The 17804-nt window shown below is 41.2% G+C and overlaps 1 protein-coding gene across 1 annotated transcript in view, besides 1 other annotated feature; it reads right to left on the bottom strand.

The window, feature by feature from the left end:
* SLC35F3 (solute carrier family 35 member F3) overlaps positions 1-17804 on the bottom strand; it is a 419836-nt gene that overhangs the window by 238891 nt on the left and 163141 nt on the right. The gene's annotated exons all lie outside the window — the stretch shown is intronic.
* Positions 11607-12806: an enhancer, noted in NCBI's record as "BRD4-independent group 4 enhancer chr1:234208561-234209760 (GRCh37/hg19 assembly coordinates)". NCBI's record gives its function as "activates an origin of replication core promoter dependent on BRD2, P300/CBP, MED14 and CDK7 cofactors, and independent of BRD4, by STARR-seq in HCT116 cells {active_cell/tissue: HCT116}" and the evidence as "EXISTENCE:reporter gene assay evidence [ECO:0000049][PMID:35650434]".

The following is a 17804-nucleotide window of genomic DNA, read 5'->3' as shown; positions in this document are numbered from 1 at the left end:
AAGCAAACATCTAAAGGGTGGGCACACTGAGGTCTGGGTACAAGGTAGCCCAATACAAATTACATCTCAAGATTGATTGCCATATTCGTGCAAATGCAAGCCAAAATAATAACATCCCAATCCATTCAGACAGAGGGAAATAAGGATCATAGCACAATGATTGGGGAATACTTATCTCCAAATCTGGCTGGGCAGAAATCCCAATAGGACTTAGGAAACAAAAACCAATTTTTGAAGGCCCAAGTTGATCATAAAGATCCAGGCATGGGTGATTTTTAATTATCATCAATAGGTGGGGAAATATCCATAGCTGCCTTCCTCTGTTCCACACAAATATATCTCATGGACACTGAAGCATTCCTCTGCCAAAGATTCATGGAGAGAAGCTAACAATTACCTTGGACCCAGCTTAGACATACCTTCAGTATAAGCACAAAATTGAGGCTCTTCTGCAAGACACAGCCAGAAACCCAGCATTTACTGGTGTTCTAGACTCTCCCTTCTAGGCTAACCTCCTTTCTTTCTGTATGGATTTGCCTATTTTAGACATTTCACATAAACAGAATCATACAATACACAGCCTTTTGTGTATGGCTTCTTTCACTTGTCATAATGCTTTCAGGATTCATCCATGTTAAAGCACACATCAGTACTTCATTCCTTTTAATGGTTGAATCCACTTCCACATGGGATTTAGGCTGACTGCAGAATATCCACTTCTAATGTGGCCCCTCAGTCCTTCTAATAGTGAAGAATCCCAAAAACAAATCCAGGGAGGTGCTCCAATCTGAAGATACTACAATACATCCAGTCAGTGTCAGGAACAACCAGATCCTGGTTGGGTAGTATGTCATTTCTGAAATCCACTTCCCACCTGACTTCTTTGATATTCTCTAGAAACATGATAACCCATTTTATACTTCAATAGAGCAGAACACCTGGAGTTGCGAGGGCTAAAAGGAGTCTGGAAGTGGGCAGTTCCATTCAGTCAATCAAGATCTTCTTTGCTAATTTTCCTGACATAAACAAACTTAAATATTCTCTAACATTTGTTTATAGCACATAATTACTTTGGAATAATTTCTTTAAAATATATGCATATATATGTATATAAATGACTTAATGCTGTGCATTTTAGGCTGCAAAAGTTAGTTGGTTCTGAGCTTGGAAAACATGTTGTTTTTCACTGTGCAGACTGGGCTTTTGAAATGGGTTGATTCAGTTGAGGATTTTATGTCTCATATTTGTTTGGCAACGTGCAAATAACTGAATGGGATTCACAGGTAGATATAATCCACACAGGCACATATAATATCTCCAAGATAAAAACTATTTGTAAATAACTTGCCCTCCTCTCTACACACAAAATTGTGTGTGTGTGTGTGTGTGTGTGTGTGTGTCTATTCCTTATCACCAACAGTGACCAACAATTAGAGAAAATGCCTCATGAGAATGATAATTGCTTGTTTAACAAATGTTGTTGGCCAGGCACGGTGGCTCACACCTGTAATCCCAGCACTTTGGCAGGCTGAGGCAGGCAGATCACCTGAGGTTGGGAGTTCAAGACCAGCCTGACCAACATGGAGAAACCCCATCTCTACTAAGAATACAAAAAATTAGCCGGGCATGGTGACATATGCCTGTAATCCCAGCTACTCAGGAGGCTGAGGCAGGAGAATCGCTTGAACCCAGGAGGCGGAGGTTGTGGTGAGCCGAGATCACGCCATTGCACTCCAGCCTGGGCAACAAGAGCGAAACTCCATCTCAAAAAAAAAAAAAAAGCCAAAACCAAAAACAAATGTTGTTTGTACTAGAAAGCTCATTGCCTCCTGCCTCACAATGCTTTTCCCACTCAAAGTGGTAAATTGACAGCAAGCTCAGAGTAGGCAGTGATTCTGATGACAAGACTGCAGTGCTTTGGGAACAAAATCTACATGAGTGAGACATTTCTAGGAAGTAGTCCAATGCTTATCCAGCCTTTCATAAGAAATGATTGGAGATCTGACAGCAGCCCCGCTTCATAAGCACTCTGGAATGAAGACATCGAGGGTGCAGAAGGTACTCAGAGAGAAAGCAGAGAAGCAGTCATTATTGAAGCCCTATGTGTATGATTCTGTGCAGAGATTGTGTATGATGTATATGGGTACTATAGAATGGAACAACTCAACAGAAAGCAGTCCAGGTCGAATGCCAATGCACAACAGAGCAATGTGTGTCAGAAAACAAAATGAAAAAACAAGATACTAAGAAGCATGAAGTAGCGCAGGTGATACGAAACCAGTATCTAAGAGTCTAAAGAAGAAAACAGCCACACCAGAATACTCTGACCTGATCCACTCTATCAAAGACTGCTTTGAGAATTAGCATGCTTGCTTTTCTTAAACCTTAATTAGCAGCAATTCTGCTAATCACTGGAGTTAGCTGCCAGTATAGTTGCAGTTTTGAAGACAACAGACTTCTGTGTGCCCCAAACCAACATTATCATTAACATGTCTTTGCCTAGAATTAAGAAAGAAAAATTAAGGAGGAAACAGAAAGAGGAAAAATGCCTTCTCTCTCTTATTCTCCTCCAGTATAACAGGTAATTGAGCAAAAATGAAATACTTAGATAAAATTCCAAAGGTTGCATAGCTCACAGTTAGGAAGCAAGGAAAGATTAAGTGGGATTGTGATATGGTTTGGTTGTGTCCCCACCCAAATCTCATCTTTAATTGCAGCTCCCATGTGGCTCCCATAATTCCCAGGTGTTGTAGGAGGGGCCCAATGGGAGATAACTGAATCATGGGGGCGGTTTCCCCCATACTGTTCTCCTGGTGGTGAATATGTCTCATGAGATCTGATGTTTTTATAAAGGGTTTTGCCTTTCGCTTGGCTCCAATTTTCTCTCTCGCCTGCTGCCATGATTGTGAGGCCTCCCCAGCCACATGAAACTGTGAGTCCATTAAACCTCTTTTTCTTTATAAATTACCCAGTCTTGGGTATGTCTTCATCAGCAGTGTGAAAACATACTAATACAAATAAGTTTGGTGGTCCCTGTGATACTACAGTGTCAACTATCACTGGCACAAATTTTACAAGAGGACTCCAGTTAACTCAGGTTTCCAGACACAGTCTTTACATAAATGACAAGGCAGCAACTTTGGGAATGAAAACAAGCAGAATGTAAAACCAAAAAACAAGCAAACACTCTTTATCACACTGCTCTGTCTAGGTTGAGAATTTTTGTGACATGGTTACAGTTAGCTTCAGGCAGGCAGCGAATTGAATTTGTGAAATCAAATAATGCATGATGTAGTGGCATTTACAGAGATTCCTCTTATTTATACATAAAGCCATTTGATGTACTTCTCCGAGAAGTTGTCTTGTTTATAAAATTACAGAGGAAACAGAGGAGATAACATGAACCGCAGAAAACTGATCTACAATTTGCCAAATTTTATAAGAACACTTCTGCTGGCAGACATGAATTATTATGGAATCTGTTTTGTATATTAATATAAAATTCAGTCCCTCTTTGACCTCAGTGAGTAAGTGCAGAAAGCATTGCTAGAAAAGATGCCAATTTGGGCTGGGCGCAGTGGCTCACGCCTGTAATTCCAGCACTTAGGGAGGCCGAGGTGGGTGGATCACGAGTTCAGGAGATCGAGACCATCCTGGCTAACATGGTGAAACCCTGTCTCTACTAAAAAAAAAAAAAAAAAAAAAAAAAAAAAAAATTAGCCAGGCATGGTGGCAGGCGCCTGTAGTCCCAGTTACTCTGAAGGCTGAGGCAGAAAAATGGCATGAACCTGGGAGGCGGAGCTTGCAGTGAGCCCAGATCGCGCCACTGCACTCCAGCCTGGGCAACAGAGTGAGACTCTGTGTCAAAGAAAAAAAAAAAGAAAGGTGCCAACTTACCAGCTTGCCCCAGGGGTCCACACCTGGAAGGCACACAAGCTTTGATGGAGTATTCTCTTTTACAGTGGACAAGACAGAAGCCCTGGTTAAAGGCATCAAGAAAAGGCAGTGTAAAGAAAAGCAAAGAATAGGGTTGAATAGGTAACTCCAGTCAGAGACAGGGCTCTGTGGTTATAATGGAAGGATATTCACCCCATCCACAGTGACCCACTGCTGCCCACTCAATCCCCTGCCTCCCGTAGCCCCTCCCCCAGGTCCTGACTCTGGGAAACAGGAACCAGCAGCTTGGATCAAGGGAGTACAAATTAGAACTCTGAGCTTATTTTCCAACAAAAACAATGTTTGCAATGATGAGATTCTCTAGTACTATTAGAACTAGCTCTCAGTTATTCGAAGATGAAACATGCTTTCATGAGTTGCGTGAGGATCTAACCTCCACCTATTGTATGGCATTAGATCTATGATAAAATGTGTTAGGAATTCCAACCATATTATAAATGGATGTTTGGCCTGTATGCCACTTGAAGATTGGCTGCAGCCTGTAATATTTTGACCGAGGCATGGGTTCATGTAGGATTCAAGAGCTTTGGGAAAGACTGAAGAGACTGAAGAAGGAAGACCAGGTGGGAGGCTATTATTGAATATATGGCAGTAGGAATGAGAAGCAAAGGAAATTTTTAAGAGGTCGCTAAGTTGGCCTGGGGCTGTATGGTTGAATAATTGTGGCAAGTAGGGAGGACAGAGAAGAAAAAGAATTAAATATTACTTTGAAGGGTTTTTTTTGCAATTTTTTATTGAGATAAAAATCCACATAACATAAAACTCACCATCTTAAAGTACACGATTCACTGGTTTGTAGAATATTCATGATGTGGTATACTCATCACCACTATCTTATTTGAAATATTTCCATTGACGCAGAAAGAAATCTTATACCTGTGAGTAACCATTCCTAGTTCCTTCCACTTCCCTTCCCTGGCAACCACTAACCTACTTTCTTTCTGTATGGATTTGTCTATTTTAGACACTTCATATAAATGGAATCGTACATTTTGTAGTTTTGTGTGTATGGCTTCTTTCACTTATCATAATGTTTTCAGGATTCATCCATGTTGAAGCATTCATCAGCACTTCATTCCTTTTAATGGGAAGCATTCATCAGCACTTCATTCCTTTTAATGGTTGCATAATATTCCATTGTATTAATATATCAAATTTGTTTATTCATTCATCAGTTGGGCTGTTTCCATATTTTAGCTATAATAATGAATAATGTGGTTAGGAACATTCATATGCATGTTTTTGTGTGAATATATGTTTTCTATTCTCTTGGGTATATACCTGAGGGGAATTGCTGGGTCCTATGGTAACTTCATAATTGAGGAACCACCTGTGATACTGTAATGTAATAAGAAATAATAATAATAAAAGGGCATGGAGCTTCCATGCCCTCCCAGGCACAGCAACCTCTCAGCACCTTGATTTGCTCACCAACCTGGAAGCTCCCCCAAACTCCAACTTTTTGGGTTTGAATGGAGGCTTCATTTTATAGGCAGGGGTGATTAAATCATTAGCCATGGGTGATTAAGTGAACGCTCAGCCTCTCCTCTCCCTGGAGGTCGGGGGTGGGGCTGAAAGTTCTATCCCTTTGATCACCTTGTTGATCACCTCCAGCAACCAGCCCTCACCCTCCAAGAGTCACCTCATTAGCACACACTCAGGTATTGATGAAAGGGGTTTTTTAAGAATAACAAAAGATGCTGTCTCACCCCATCACTCAAGAAATCTCTAGCGTTTTAGGAGCTCTGTTACAGAAACCAGAGACAAAAGCCAAATATATTGTGTCTTTTTATATCACACTATCACACTGTCAAACTGTTTTTTATAGTGGCTGCATCATTTTACTTTCTCACCAGCAATATATGAAGGTTCCGATTTCTCTATATCCTCGTTAATATTTCTTATTTTCAGTTTTTTAAAGAAAGTTTTATTCTAGTCATCATAAATGGGTGGAAAATGATATTTCATTGTGGTTTCAAATTGCATTTCCCTAATAATGAATGATGTTAGACATTTCATTGGTGATTATTGATCATTTGTGTATCTTCTTGAGATAAATGCTTACTTAAATCCTTTGCCCATTTTTCATTCATGACTTTTTTATTGTTGAGTTTTATTGTTGACTTTTTCATTGTATATTCTGAATGCTAAACTCAAAATATATAATTTGCAAAATCGTTGTGCCTTTCTGTAGGTTGTCTTTTTACTCTGAAGTCCAAAGTATCTGTTTTTCTTTAGTGGCTTGTGCTTTTTGTTTGATATTTAAGAAATTGATGCCTAATCTAAAATCATGAATATTTACTCCTATGTTTTCTTCTAAGAGCTTTACTGTTTTAGCTCTGACATTTAGGTCTTCAAAATAATGAAGTTAGACCCCTAATCTCACACCGTATAAAAAAAATAGACTCATGTCCCAGCACCATTTGTTGACAAGGTTACTTCCCCATTGAATAGTCTTGGTACCCTTGTTGAAAATCAACTGATTATTTATATATGGGTTTCTTTCTGAACTATGTCATTCTATTCCCTTGAACTATATGTCTATCCCTGTACCAGCAGCACACTGTCTTGATTACAGTTGCTTTGTAGTACCTTTTGAAATTGGAAAGTGCAAGTCTTCCAACTTTGTTCTTTCTCAAGATTATTTAGGCTTTTCAGTGTCCCTTGTTTTTCTATATGAATTTAGAACCGCTTTTGATTTTTTTCTGGAAAAGAGGCAGTTGAAATTTCAAGCTCTTTTAATTCTCTCTTTGCAGATCACAGTGTGGTGAGGGTGAAAGAACATTTAAATAAAAACAGAGACCTCAGTTCTGACCTGCAAGGTCAGTCATGTCCTTGTTCAGTGACTGCTTTTCCTTGTATAAAGTAAGATATTGAACTGGATAATTTTTAAGTTCCAGATCTGATTGTAACATCTTACAAAAAAAATTAGCCATAGAAAAGGACTTAATTGCCTATTTTGAGAGTCAGAAAGAGAACACAAAGCACAAAAGGGCTTAGAGTCCCAAGGAATCCAAGCATCTATTGGCCAGATACAGAAGAAAGGGCCTGCAAAGGAATCTGAGGCTTAGCTTTTAGAGAGGTCAAAGAAATCCAGGGACTTGTGGAAGGAGAGAAACCAATGGAGAGGATTCCTTCAGAAAGGAGCAAGGGGGATCAACAGGGCTGACTGTTGCGGAAGATGAGTTCACTGAAGACTGAAAAATGCCTATGGTTAAACTTAACATAGAGGTCTCTGGTGATCTTGGTGAAGTGAGATTTGGTGGAATAACATGCCCAGAAGCCAGCTGGAGTGGAATGAGGAATGAGTAGGAGGTGAGGAAATGGAGCAGTGAGTGTGGATAACTATTCTGAGAAAATTGGAGAGAAACAGTGGGTGCTGAAGGAGGAGGAGGAGGAAGAAGAGGAAGACAAATCTTTAAGAGAGGCAGTTTTTGTGTAGTTTTGATTTTTAATATGAGAAAGACTTAAGACCAATTTAAATGGTAGAGGAAAGGAACCTAAAGGAAAAAGATGAATGCACAGGGGCAGAGAGATGAAGGAGGCCACAAGACTTGTTGAAAGTTGGAAGGGGACAGGATTCAACCTGCAGGTGAAGGGACTGGCCTTAGTTGGAGGACATCTTCCTCTGCAGTAGGAGTCAAGGAGAGAATAGTGGGTGATGACAGAGGTTTGTAGACTCAGTGGTGGAGAGCTGAAGTAATTCCTCCCTGACATCTTTCATATTCTCTGGGGAGCAACCCTCAATGTCATCTGCTGGGAATAAAGTGTTCATGAAGACCCTTGGAGGTGGAGGGTGGAGGCTCCAGAGAAGAGGCACACAACTGAATTGAGAAACCCTGGAGGGTGCCAGGCAGCACTGCAGACTGTGTGAATTGAGAGGGGTCGCTGTTCACTGTGCTGTGAGATTTTTCTGGAGTTGAGCCCCACAGCTGAGGTGCAGGCTATGAGAACCCACCGCCTGCCCAAAGCTTACTGGATCTCTGAAGGGTGCCTGATCCGTGGTAGCCAACCTCCCAGTCAGCATGACACTGCACACCCACTGGTATGGTCAGGCTTTATGTCCCCACCCAAATCTTATCTTGAATTGTAATCCCCATAATCCCCACATGTCAAGGGAGAAACAAGGTGGAGGTAATTGAATCATGGGGGTGGTTTCCCCCATGCTGTTCTCATGATAGTGAGTTTTCAGGAGATCTAATGGTTTTATAAGGGGCTCTGCCCACTTCATTCAGCACTTCTCCTTCCTGCAGCCTTGTGAAAAAGGTGCCTTGCTTTCCCTTCACCTTCTGTCATGATTGTAAGTTTCCTGAGGCCTCTCCAGACATGTTGAACTGTGAGTCAATTAAACCTCTTTCTTGGCCGGGCGCGGTGGCTCACGCCTGTAATCCCAGCACTTTGGGAGGCCGAGGCGGGTGGATCATGAGGTCAGGAGATCGAGACCATCCTGGCTAACAAGGTGAAACCCCGTCTCTACTAAAAATACAAAAAATTAGCCGGGCGCGGTGGCGGGCGCCTGTAGTCCCAGCTACTGGGGAGGCTGAGGCAGGAGAATGGCGTGAACCCGGGAAGCGGAGCTTGCAGTGAGCCGAGATTGCGCCACTGCAGTCCGCAGTCCGGCCTGGGCGACAGAGCGAGACTCCGTCTCAAAAAAAAAAAAAAAAACAAAAAAAAAACCTCTTTCTTTTATAAATTATCCAGTCTCAGACTGTTCTTTTTAGCAGTGTGAAAATGGACTAATACACCCACCATTAGTAAGATGCTTTGGTAACTCACTGGCAACTCTGCATTTCCATTGCAGGACACACCCCTGCCAGGCTCTCTCCCCTTGGGTGGCACACTTTATCGACAGAAGAGAACTGCTAGGATTCTAGCTTTTTCTTTTAATTAATATTATTATTGTGGCTAGGCATGGTGGCTCATGCCTGTAATCCCAGCACTTTGGGAGGGCGAGGCTGGTGGATCACCTGAGGTCATGAGTTCGAGAACAGCCTGGCCAACATGGTGAAACCCCATCTCTACTAAAATACAAAAATTAGCAGGGCATGATGGCGGGCACCCATAATCCCAGCTACTTGGTAGGCTGAGGCAGAAGAATTGCTTGAACCTGGGAGGTGGAGGTTGCAGTGAGCCAAGTTTGTGCCACTGCACTCCAGCCTGGGCGACAGAGTGAGACTCCATCTCCAAAAAAAAAAAAAATTATTATGATGATTATTATTATTTTTGTAGAGAGAGACAGGGTCTCACTATGTTGCCCAGGTGGGTCTCAAACTCTTGGGCTCAAGTGATCCTCTCACCTCAGCCTCTTAAAATGTTGGGATTACAGGCATGAGCCACCACACCCAGCTACTACCTTTTTCTTTTAAAATATGCTTTCTGGGTTCCAAACTATCCTCTCAGAATTAATGGGGCTGTCACCTTGATAATACGTTTAAAATGTATTGGTACCACCTGGCAATACATGACAAAATTTCATAGCTTTTTAACTTTACCAAAGAAAAAAAACCGAGGAGTGAATTATTGCCATTATTACCTTTCCAATATTTCAACTGTAAAACAAAAAGTATCTGAGACAGGTCTCAATCATTTCAGAATTTTATTTTGCCAAGGTTAAGAACATACCCAGAAGAAAATAACATGGAATCACAGAAAACAGTCTGCGGTCTGTGCCTTTCTCCAAAGCTGAACTCCAGGGCTTCAATATTTAAATGGAAAAAGCAGTCTAGAGCAAAAAAGCGCGGGTGTGGTAATCCACAAGTTGCAGGAGAAAAGGAGCAGGTAGGGGAATAGTCAATTACTCAGTATATCAGCACTTTATGTAAGATAAGGTGAACACAGAGTAGCTACCTGTGGTGTTGTTTAACCTTTTATCTGTAGCTACCTGCTTAGGAACAAAAGGAAAGGCAGCTTCTTGCAAGACTCAGCTTCCAGCTTATTTTTTTCCTTTTGGCAGTGAATTGGGGTCTTTACTTTCCTTAACGTTCTCCAGATTTCACACCACTACCTAGATAATAAGCTATTTTATTTACTCCTGACTGCTCTACAGTGTGCATAGCTTGGTCCTCTTTTCTAACGACCTCAGTTGTTTCTCAGTGCGGAATGATTTGCTGAAAGTGCTTCCCACACATTTTATCTGGAATCTTCTCAAAATAACTATTCTTATTCTATCACTTTATCAGCACAATGTGCCTAGCCCACATGCTATTAGCTTGCACTAAAGACATGTTTCTTTGCAAATGCTCCCGTATTTTTGTACATATATTAAAATATATGCTCTTTCTAAGGCACAAGGCTGATGGAGACCACTTCCGTTGGCTCTCCCCATAATGAGGTGAAGGGCTTGGCATGCATGTGGGGTCGCCACTACTGTTGACTAGTAGTTTTCCTCTTACCAGTTTGTTTGTTTCCTTTGCTGAGATGTTTCTTCACCCAAGGTCCGTTTTTGGTTCATTATTTTGCCTAAATCATCTGTGTCCTTTGTTCTAACATGGAACATATGTCTCTCAGATTTATATCACTAACTTCTCAATTTCTCTTTCACTGTATGATTTCCACATTGTTAGTACTCTCTCATCGGTGTATCTCACTACCATGTAAAATTAAACTTTTCAGACTGAGTTCTTTATTTTCTCCTTGATTCCTAAGTCCTCATTGCCATAATTTTCCTTTGGTCCCAACATCAAAAAAACTCAGACGTCACAGCCCAAGCTCAGGCTCTTGATCAACGCCTTTAGTTGACTTTCCTTATTTCAGTCTCAGCTCCTCCCCAGACATCTCAAATGTGGTAAAAGCAGATTCTCATCAGTGTCACCTGGATTTCCTTTCTTCAATGCCAACAGTGGCTACCAGTTGCTTTTCCTACCAAATGAAAATAACATGCACTTGAAGTATTTTTGCCCTAACCTCACTCAGTTCCCACAAATTCCGCTCCACCCTCTCTACTTTGATTGCTTTCTGCAAACTTTCTGAACCTTCTCTATGCCTCTGAGAAAAGATCACCTTCTGCCTCTAAGAAATCATGAGCTTTGAAACCTTTAAAATTCCGCTTGAGCTCCACCCCTGCCTGTCTTGCCTTTTCTGACTGGGCCCCCTGGGGCTCCAGTGTCTGTAGAAGTCATCCTACCCTCCCCCACTTCATCTTTCCACCTACTTGGGCACTGAGAACTCATATATACATATCTGCATGGGTTGAGCTGTCATGGCTGTGGTTACAGATTTTGTCATTTGTGTTTTCAATATCTATGTCTATTTGCTAGTTGCCTCTTATACTTGACATACTCCTTTAGGGCAGCTGCTTGCTCTGGCATTGCTTTTAGAAGTGCCCAGTGTTCAATCATTGTTAACTGATGATGAAGTCAAAAGAGAAAGAAGTGGGTCCAGAAGAGATAATAGCAGGTAATGAAAAGAGAACAGGACCAGCAATCAGGATGGAAGCTTCTGCTACTGACCAGCCATGTGACCCGTGACCTTGACGTACATTTTAAAGGGAAAGCTGAAGGGAGTGTTTAACTTATGAAGAGTAGGATGACACCCGACACCTGTGAAAAGAAGGTAGTTTTCAGACCGTGAGACAAGAGGGACGTTTCTTAAAATGTAGCACCAAGCACATTAATAGAAAAACAGTAGAAGAATAGATGGAGAATTTTGCCACACTCAATATGGCTTCCAGGCCTGCCAGACCTAGCAGAAAAAGAAACTAAAGCTTGGACAATGATACACAATATAAAGACACTTAACACGATCGAATGCACACTTAAAAATGGCCCAGATGGTAAATTTTATGTTACAAATATTTTACCACATTTAATAATAAAAAAAGAAACTGAAGCAAGTACGACATCAAACTTGGGACTTTTTCCTGGGACACCCACAAGCAAATGGGAAAAATGAGGGAAAGAAGAGAAAAAAGTCCAGTGGTTTCACAGTTTATACTGGATTTTTATTTTATATGGACAATGAAATGAGTGGTATGTATCATATATTTATCATGTCGGAGGAAGTGATTTAAATTGATCTGATTCACAGAATTTCAGAATGATTTCCCAGTACCTTTGAAGGAACCGGGAGGTAGGTGACGGGTATCCTGATGGATAGGCTGAATGGTTTGTTCACAGTCTCCAACAGCAATGGCTGCTGCTTCTTTCCATGATGACTTTTGTGTTTCGATTATCCAGCTATGCAAGGTGCTTATGGAAGGACTCAAGAAATAGAAGATAGGGGACTGGGCATGGTGGTTCATGCCTGTAATCCTAGCACTTTGGAAGGCAAGGCAGGAGGATCTCTTGAGCCCAGGATTTCAGGACCAGTCTGTGTAACACAGTGCGATCCCATCTCTACAAAATTTTTTTTTAAATTAGCCAGACTTGGTGGCTCATGGCTATAGTTCCACATACATGGGAAGCTGAGGTGGGAGGATTGCTTGAGCCCAGGAGTTCAAGGCTGCAGTGTGCTATGATCACGTCACTGCATTCCAGCCTGGGTGACACAGCAAGACCCTATCTGTAAAATAAAAATCAAAAGGAAATAGAAGCTAGCATATCTGCCCATCTGACATTTGTGTTCTTGTGGGAAAGGTACAGACACATCCACACGGAACAGATGAGTCAATGGGATCACTTTGTACTGCCTCTGCAGCCACCTCCATCATCTCTCCACTGGGTTATCACAAACACCCTCGCCAGGTCTCCCAGTGCCCACGCCTGTCCTCCCACCATCTGCTTTGCCATATAACAACCAAAGTGATTCTTTTCAAACCTAAGTTAGTTCATGCCACTCCTCTAATCAAAGCCTTCCAGGGTCTTCCCATCTCTCCATGCCAAGCCAAGGTCCTTACAAGACCTCTGAGGCCTGGTGTGATGGGGACCCTTGCCCCCTTGCCCATGGGTCCTGCCACTCTTTGCTGACTCATAGGCCGCAGCCATTTTGGCTTCCTCCTGTTCCCCAAACACTTCAAGCATAGCCTCATTGCAAGGGGTTGCATTGGCTTTCTTTTCTGCCTGGAACACCGTTCTTCCCGAGATCCACAGCCCCCCACCCCTTTCTCTGTTCAATTATCTTCACATCAGAGATACTTCCCCGGTCACCGCATAGAAAATGGCAAGTTCTCCTGTCTGTCCCAGGCCCTCCTGGCTTAATTTTTCTCCATCGTATTAAACGCTACCTAACATGTTACATATTTAATTGTATATTTGCTTCATGTCTCTCTCTTTCTACCAAGGAGGGCCAGGGTTTTGTTTTGTTCACTGCATTATCTCCATCAGTGTCTGATGAGTGCTCAGGAAGTATCTGTTGAGTGAATTAAGGGCCCAATGACTGGCACAGGCAATTGTCACTAACAGAAAATTATGTTTGCATCTGAATAAAGGCAGAAAGAAACATATGACCATAGCAAGTGCCTTTTATTAAGTGCAACCTTCTTCACAGATAAATAAATGTAAACCCAGGGCACAGCTACTTAGACAAGACAGAAAAATATCCAAAATAAACCAGCACTGTTAGGATTGTCCTATTCTTCTAGAAATCCTTGGAGTTAGCAACAGCACATAAAGCAGTCATGCTGCCTACAATATCTACTGTTGTTGAATTAATTTCAGTAGTCACTTACATAAATCTGACTCTAAAAACAGTTATTTCCACTCAGCTACATTGTCATAAGTTCTCTCATTCCCAATTCAAGCAACCACACTCATGAGTCCCCTGATTCCTTTTTCTGTCCAGGCCAGTAAATGGTGCCAATTGTGCCCTGTGGGATATAATGAAACTTTATTGACAAGGGATAGTGGAGTTTCTTAACTCCCATAACTTCAACAACTAGCCAACAATTTGGGGAGTAGAAAGGGTGGTCCTTGGCCATTAATTACATCTTAACGAGGCATGCCAATAGGAGGTACGGAGTTTGGGAGGAGCTGTTATTAATAGGTTTGTAGGTGGAAATTAGACACCTTTTGAAGCATTCTGCTGCTTTCTTCCCAAGGCCTCACTTCTTCAATGACAAATTGCATGTTCATAGATCTGAATAACATGGAATGTTCATTAAATATTCCTAAAAATGTTATTTGTTGTAACTTTCATGGTGAGAGCCTACTAAACTGATAATTTCTGTTTAACCCATTAATGCTCTACTCCTATCAGAGGTGAGAGAAATGGCAAAGATTTGGAAACACATGAATTTGGTCACGTAAGGACTGTCCACCCACCCATTAACTTACAGGCTCTCTGCCAGGGGTGGAGGACCCAGCAGGAGTGACAAGAACGTCGTCTTTGCTCTAATGAAACCAGGATGGGAACAAGCTTTCTGAAAATGGTTCTAAAAGAAGCACCATGATGATGGAGCTGTTTTACCATTTTACTCTCTGGAGAGTCCCAAGGACTTTGAACAGTGCCTGGCCCATAGTTTCTCAGTAAGTAATTGTCAAGGAAATAAAGAAAGCATTTGACTAGCACCTGACCCCCAGCAGGTACTCATGTGTTGTAGCGATATTATTGATAGATTCTTGACTTGCCAGGTCCCTAGACTCTGCCGGGTCTGCTCTTGGGTCCTCTCCACACATAGGGCCAGAGGAGGGACAACTCCTTTGAAAGGTATACAGTCTCTTCACTGTATACCTAACAAGACAGACTTTCTCTGATAGAGTCGTGAGGCTCTGTCGGCTGCCTGGAGGCAGGGCTTCAGGTGAGACGGGATTGCTCTGCATCTATTTCCTCATCTCCCAAAATGGGAGTTGAGGGTAAGCTCTCAGATTCTTCCTAGTTCTAACAGTCTCCAATTGTAACTCTGCACAAATCTAGAAGGTTGAGAGGAGCATTAATTATTTATTTTAAGGAGGCCATCATACAAAATTACTAAAATGAACTGATATGTTATGGGGTGGCATAAAAATATGTCAATTATAACCTTACAAAAAAAAACTGCAGGAAATAGACAAATTCTTAAAATATGGAAAAACAGAAAAAGATGTTAACTAATATGAATTGTTAGAACAATTCTATGAACCTGATGAGATTAAAAAACAATAATACACATGGAAACTATCTATAAAGGTAATTAAAAACAAATTGCGGACACACCCAACATTCTGTTAGATTTGTCTATGGGACAGAGGCATAATATGGCTATGGTCACCATATTTGCTAAACTGGAAATTAGTCAAGGTGACCTGAAACCAGGATAAAAATACTTGGAATACATACTTTAAAAAATCAAGACTATTTGGTTGGTATACGCATAAATAAATTCCTCCATGTATAGGAAAAGTAAATTATTTAAAAGCCTACTGGGAAATGAAGGCATAAAAACCATGTTTTCTATTTTGATGTGCTGTGCTTTCATGTCAGCATTAATGAAGTAATTGGCCAGGCAGCCTGCAGGCTTCATCATATTCACCCACTAGAGCCAGCAGGTAGGCCTTCCAGGAACCTGCTGTATGAAGGAAGGTCAGAACCTTCTGGGGAATGCATGAGATCTCATCTTCACACCAGAGGATGCTGTGTTTGTACAGGGCTCTAAGGAGCAAGGTCAGTTTAGAATGGGCAGAAAGGATGGCCTTGAATCCCGCAGAGTATGTGCTGCTCAGGCTTCTTTGGCTCTGCACGTTCTTTCCAGCCATTTAAACCAACTTCCTGGTGGAGGAGGTGGTTGGAAGAAGATTTGGGTTTGAAAGCTCTGTATGAGATTAGAGCACAAGGTGGTGCTGTCTCCATTCCTGTATAACCAAGGCCAGCTCAAGTAAGAATGAAGGGTATCCTCCAGGCACACAGAAGCTGGCAGCCAGAATGTAGCACAGTCTGGGCAGTACGAGACTGGTGGCAATGAAATCAAGACACAACTGAGCATGGTGCCCATCAGGGACAAGGGGAGAATGTCTGAGCTACAGGAAGAGCAACAGAAATGGCAGGCAAATGCAAGACTGTGTTAAGAGTGCCGGGGTGGTAGCCAAGAGAGGACTACCTCAGGGACTTTGGGACCCCTGTTCTGAGGACCCTGGGGGAGGCTGGGCTCCCATGAGCCTGTGAGTGAGGCCTAAGAAGACTCGTAAGTTCTGGCAACTTGTTCTCCACCTTTTGGCTCTTAGCACTGCAGACAGAGAGATGCTTTCAAAATATAAATCTCAGCCGGGTGCGGTGGCTCATGCCGGTAATCCCAGTACTTTGGGAGGCTGAGGCGGGTGGATCATGAGATCAGAAGATCAAGACCATCCTGGCTAACACGGTGAAACTCCGTCTCTACTGAAAATATAAAGTTAGCCAGGTGTGGTGGCACATGCCTGTAGTCCCAGCTACTTAGGAGGCTGAGCCAGGAGAATCACTTGAACCTGGGAGGTGGAGGTTGCAATGAGCTGAGATTGCACCACTGCACTCCAGCCTGGGTGACAGAGCAAGACTCCCTCTCAAAAAAAAAAAAATGTATTTTATATATATATTATATATTTTTATATAAAATTATATATAATATAATATATAAATATGTATTTATATATAAAATTTTATATATTATATTATATATTATTGTCTATAAATATATTATATATTATATATTTTATATACAAAAATATACAATATATTATAATATAATATATAATATATATTGCATATAATATATATTATAATATATATTATATATAAAATTATATAATTTTATATATTATATATAGTAAAATTATATAATTTTATATATTATATGTAGTAAAATTATATAATTTTATATATTATATGTAGTAAAATTATATAATTTTATATATAATATATTACATATAAAAATATATATAATATATAAATATAAAAAATATGTAAAATATATATAAATATGCCATATATATATATATATATATATATATATATATAATGTCTCAAATCTTATCCTGTCACTCCTCTGCTTGGACATTTCTTTATTCCTGTCTCACAAGGAACAAAAGCCAAGCATTTACAGCGGTCTGCAAGGCCTACGTGGTCTGCACTCTTGCCTCTTACTGCATGCACACATGCACACACACATGCTTGCTCACACACACACCTCTCTGACTCCCAGATTACTGGCTATTCCTGCTCCTACTGTACTTTGTTCCTACTTCTATTATAGTTCCTATTTGTGCCTACTTCTGTTTCAGGGACAGCAATTATGGGTTCTATGATGGCTTCTCTCATAGCTAAGGCATGGTGGCACGCGCCTGTAGTCCCAGCTACTTGGGAGGCTGAGCTGCTTCTTGTAGCTGTTAGCATGTGAGTCTTCTGTTACAGACTGTGAATCAGATGAGAGTCAGGGCTAACTTACCTTTGCACCTTTCACAGCACCCTTGACTGCATCTGGCTGACAGCAGTTGTTGAAGTTTTCTTAATACAGGAGTTTCAAGAGGAAGCCATAAACCAAAAGGCAGGGACAGAGTGCATTCACTATTTCTGAAAGTTTGAGGTGCGTGGAATTTTTCGCATTGAATCCCACGTTTACAGTCACTTTCTTAACACATTTAGAGACACTTCATTTTCATTTCTGATGGAGTTTCGGTTGGCAGAGGCTCCTAACACTTTTAAGCTTATCTGTCTCCCTTCCAATCTCATAAGTGGTTCATTATCCTTAAATTGCTTAAACATCTCTAGGAGAGCCATGAGGTTTTCATAATGTGAGTAAATGGCATTTAGTTGGAAGGCTCTCGGTTACCTGAAACCAAGCCCAGAATTTTGGAATAAGTAAAGCCCACCTCTGGAGGCCAAACAGATATTTCAGAGGTCTTCACCAAACCCAGCTACTTTATTTGAAGGTAAATGGCAGAGGCCTTGTGCATGAATTACCCTTTCCTGTGTAACAAATCACCACCACCATGACCCATGACCCCTTCATTTGCTCCTCACTCTGT

Source organism: Homo sapiens, chromosome 1, assembly GCF_000001405.40.
Source record: "Homo sapiens chromosome 1, GRCh38.p14 Primary Assembly".
Taxonomy (NCBI): Eukaryota; Metazoa; Chordata; class Mammalia; order Primates; family Hominidae; genus Homo; species Homo sapiens.
The sequence above is the reverse complement of the archived record's forward strand: the minus strand, read 5'-3'. Positions and strand labels throughout refer to the sequence as shown.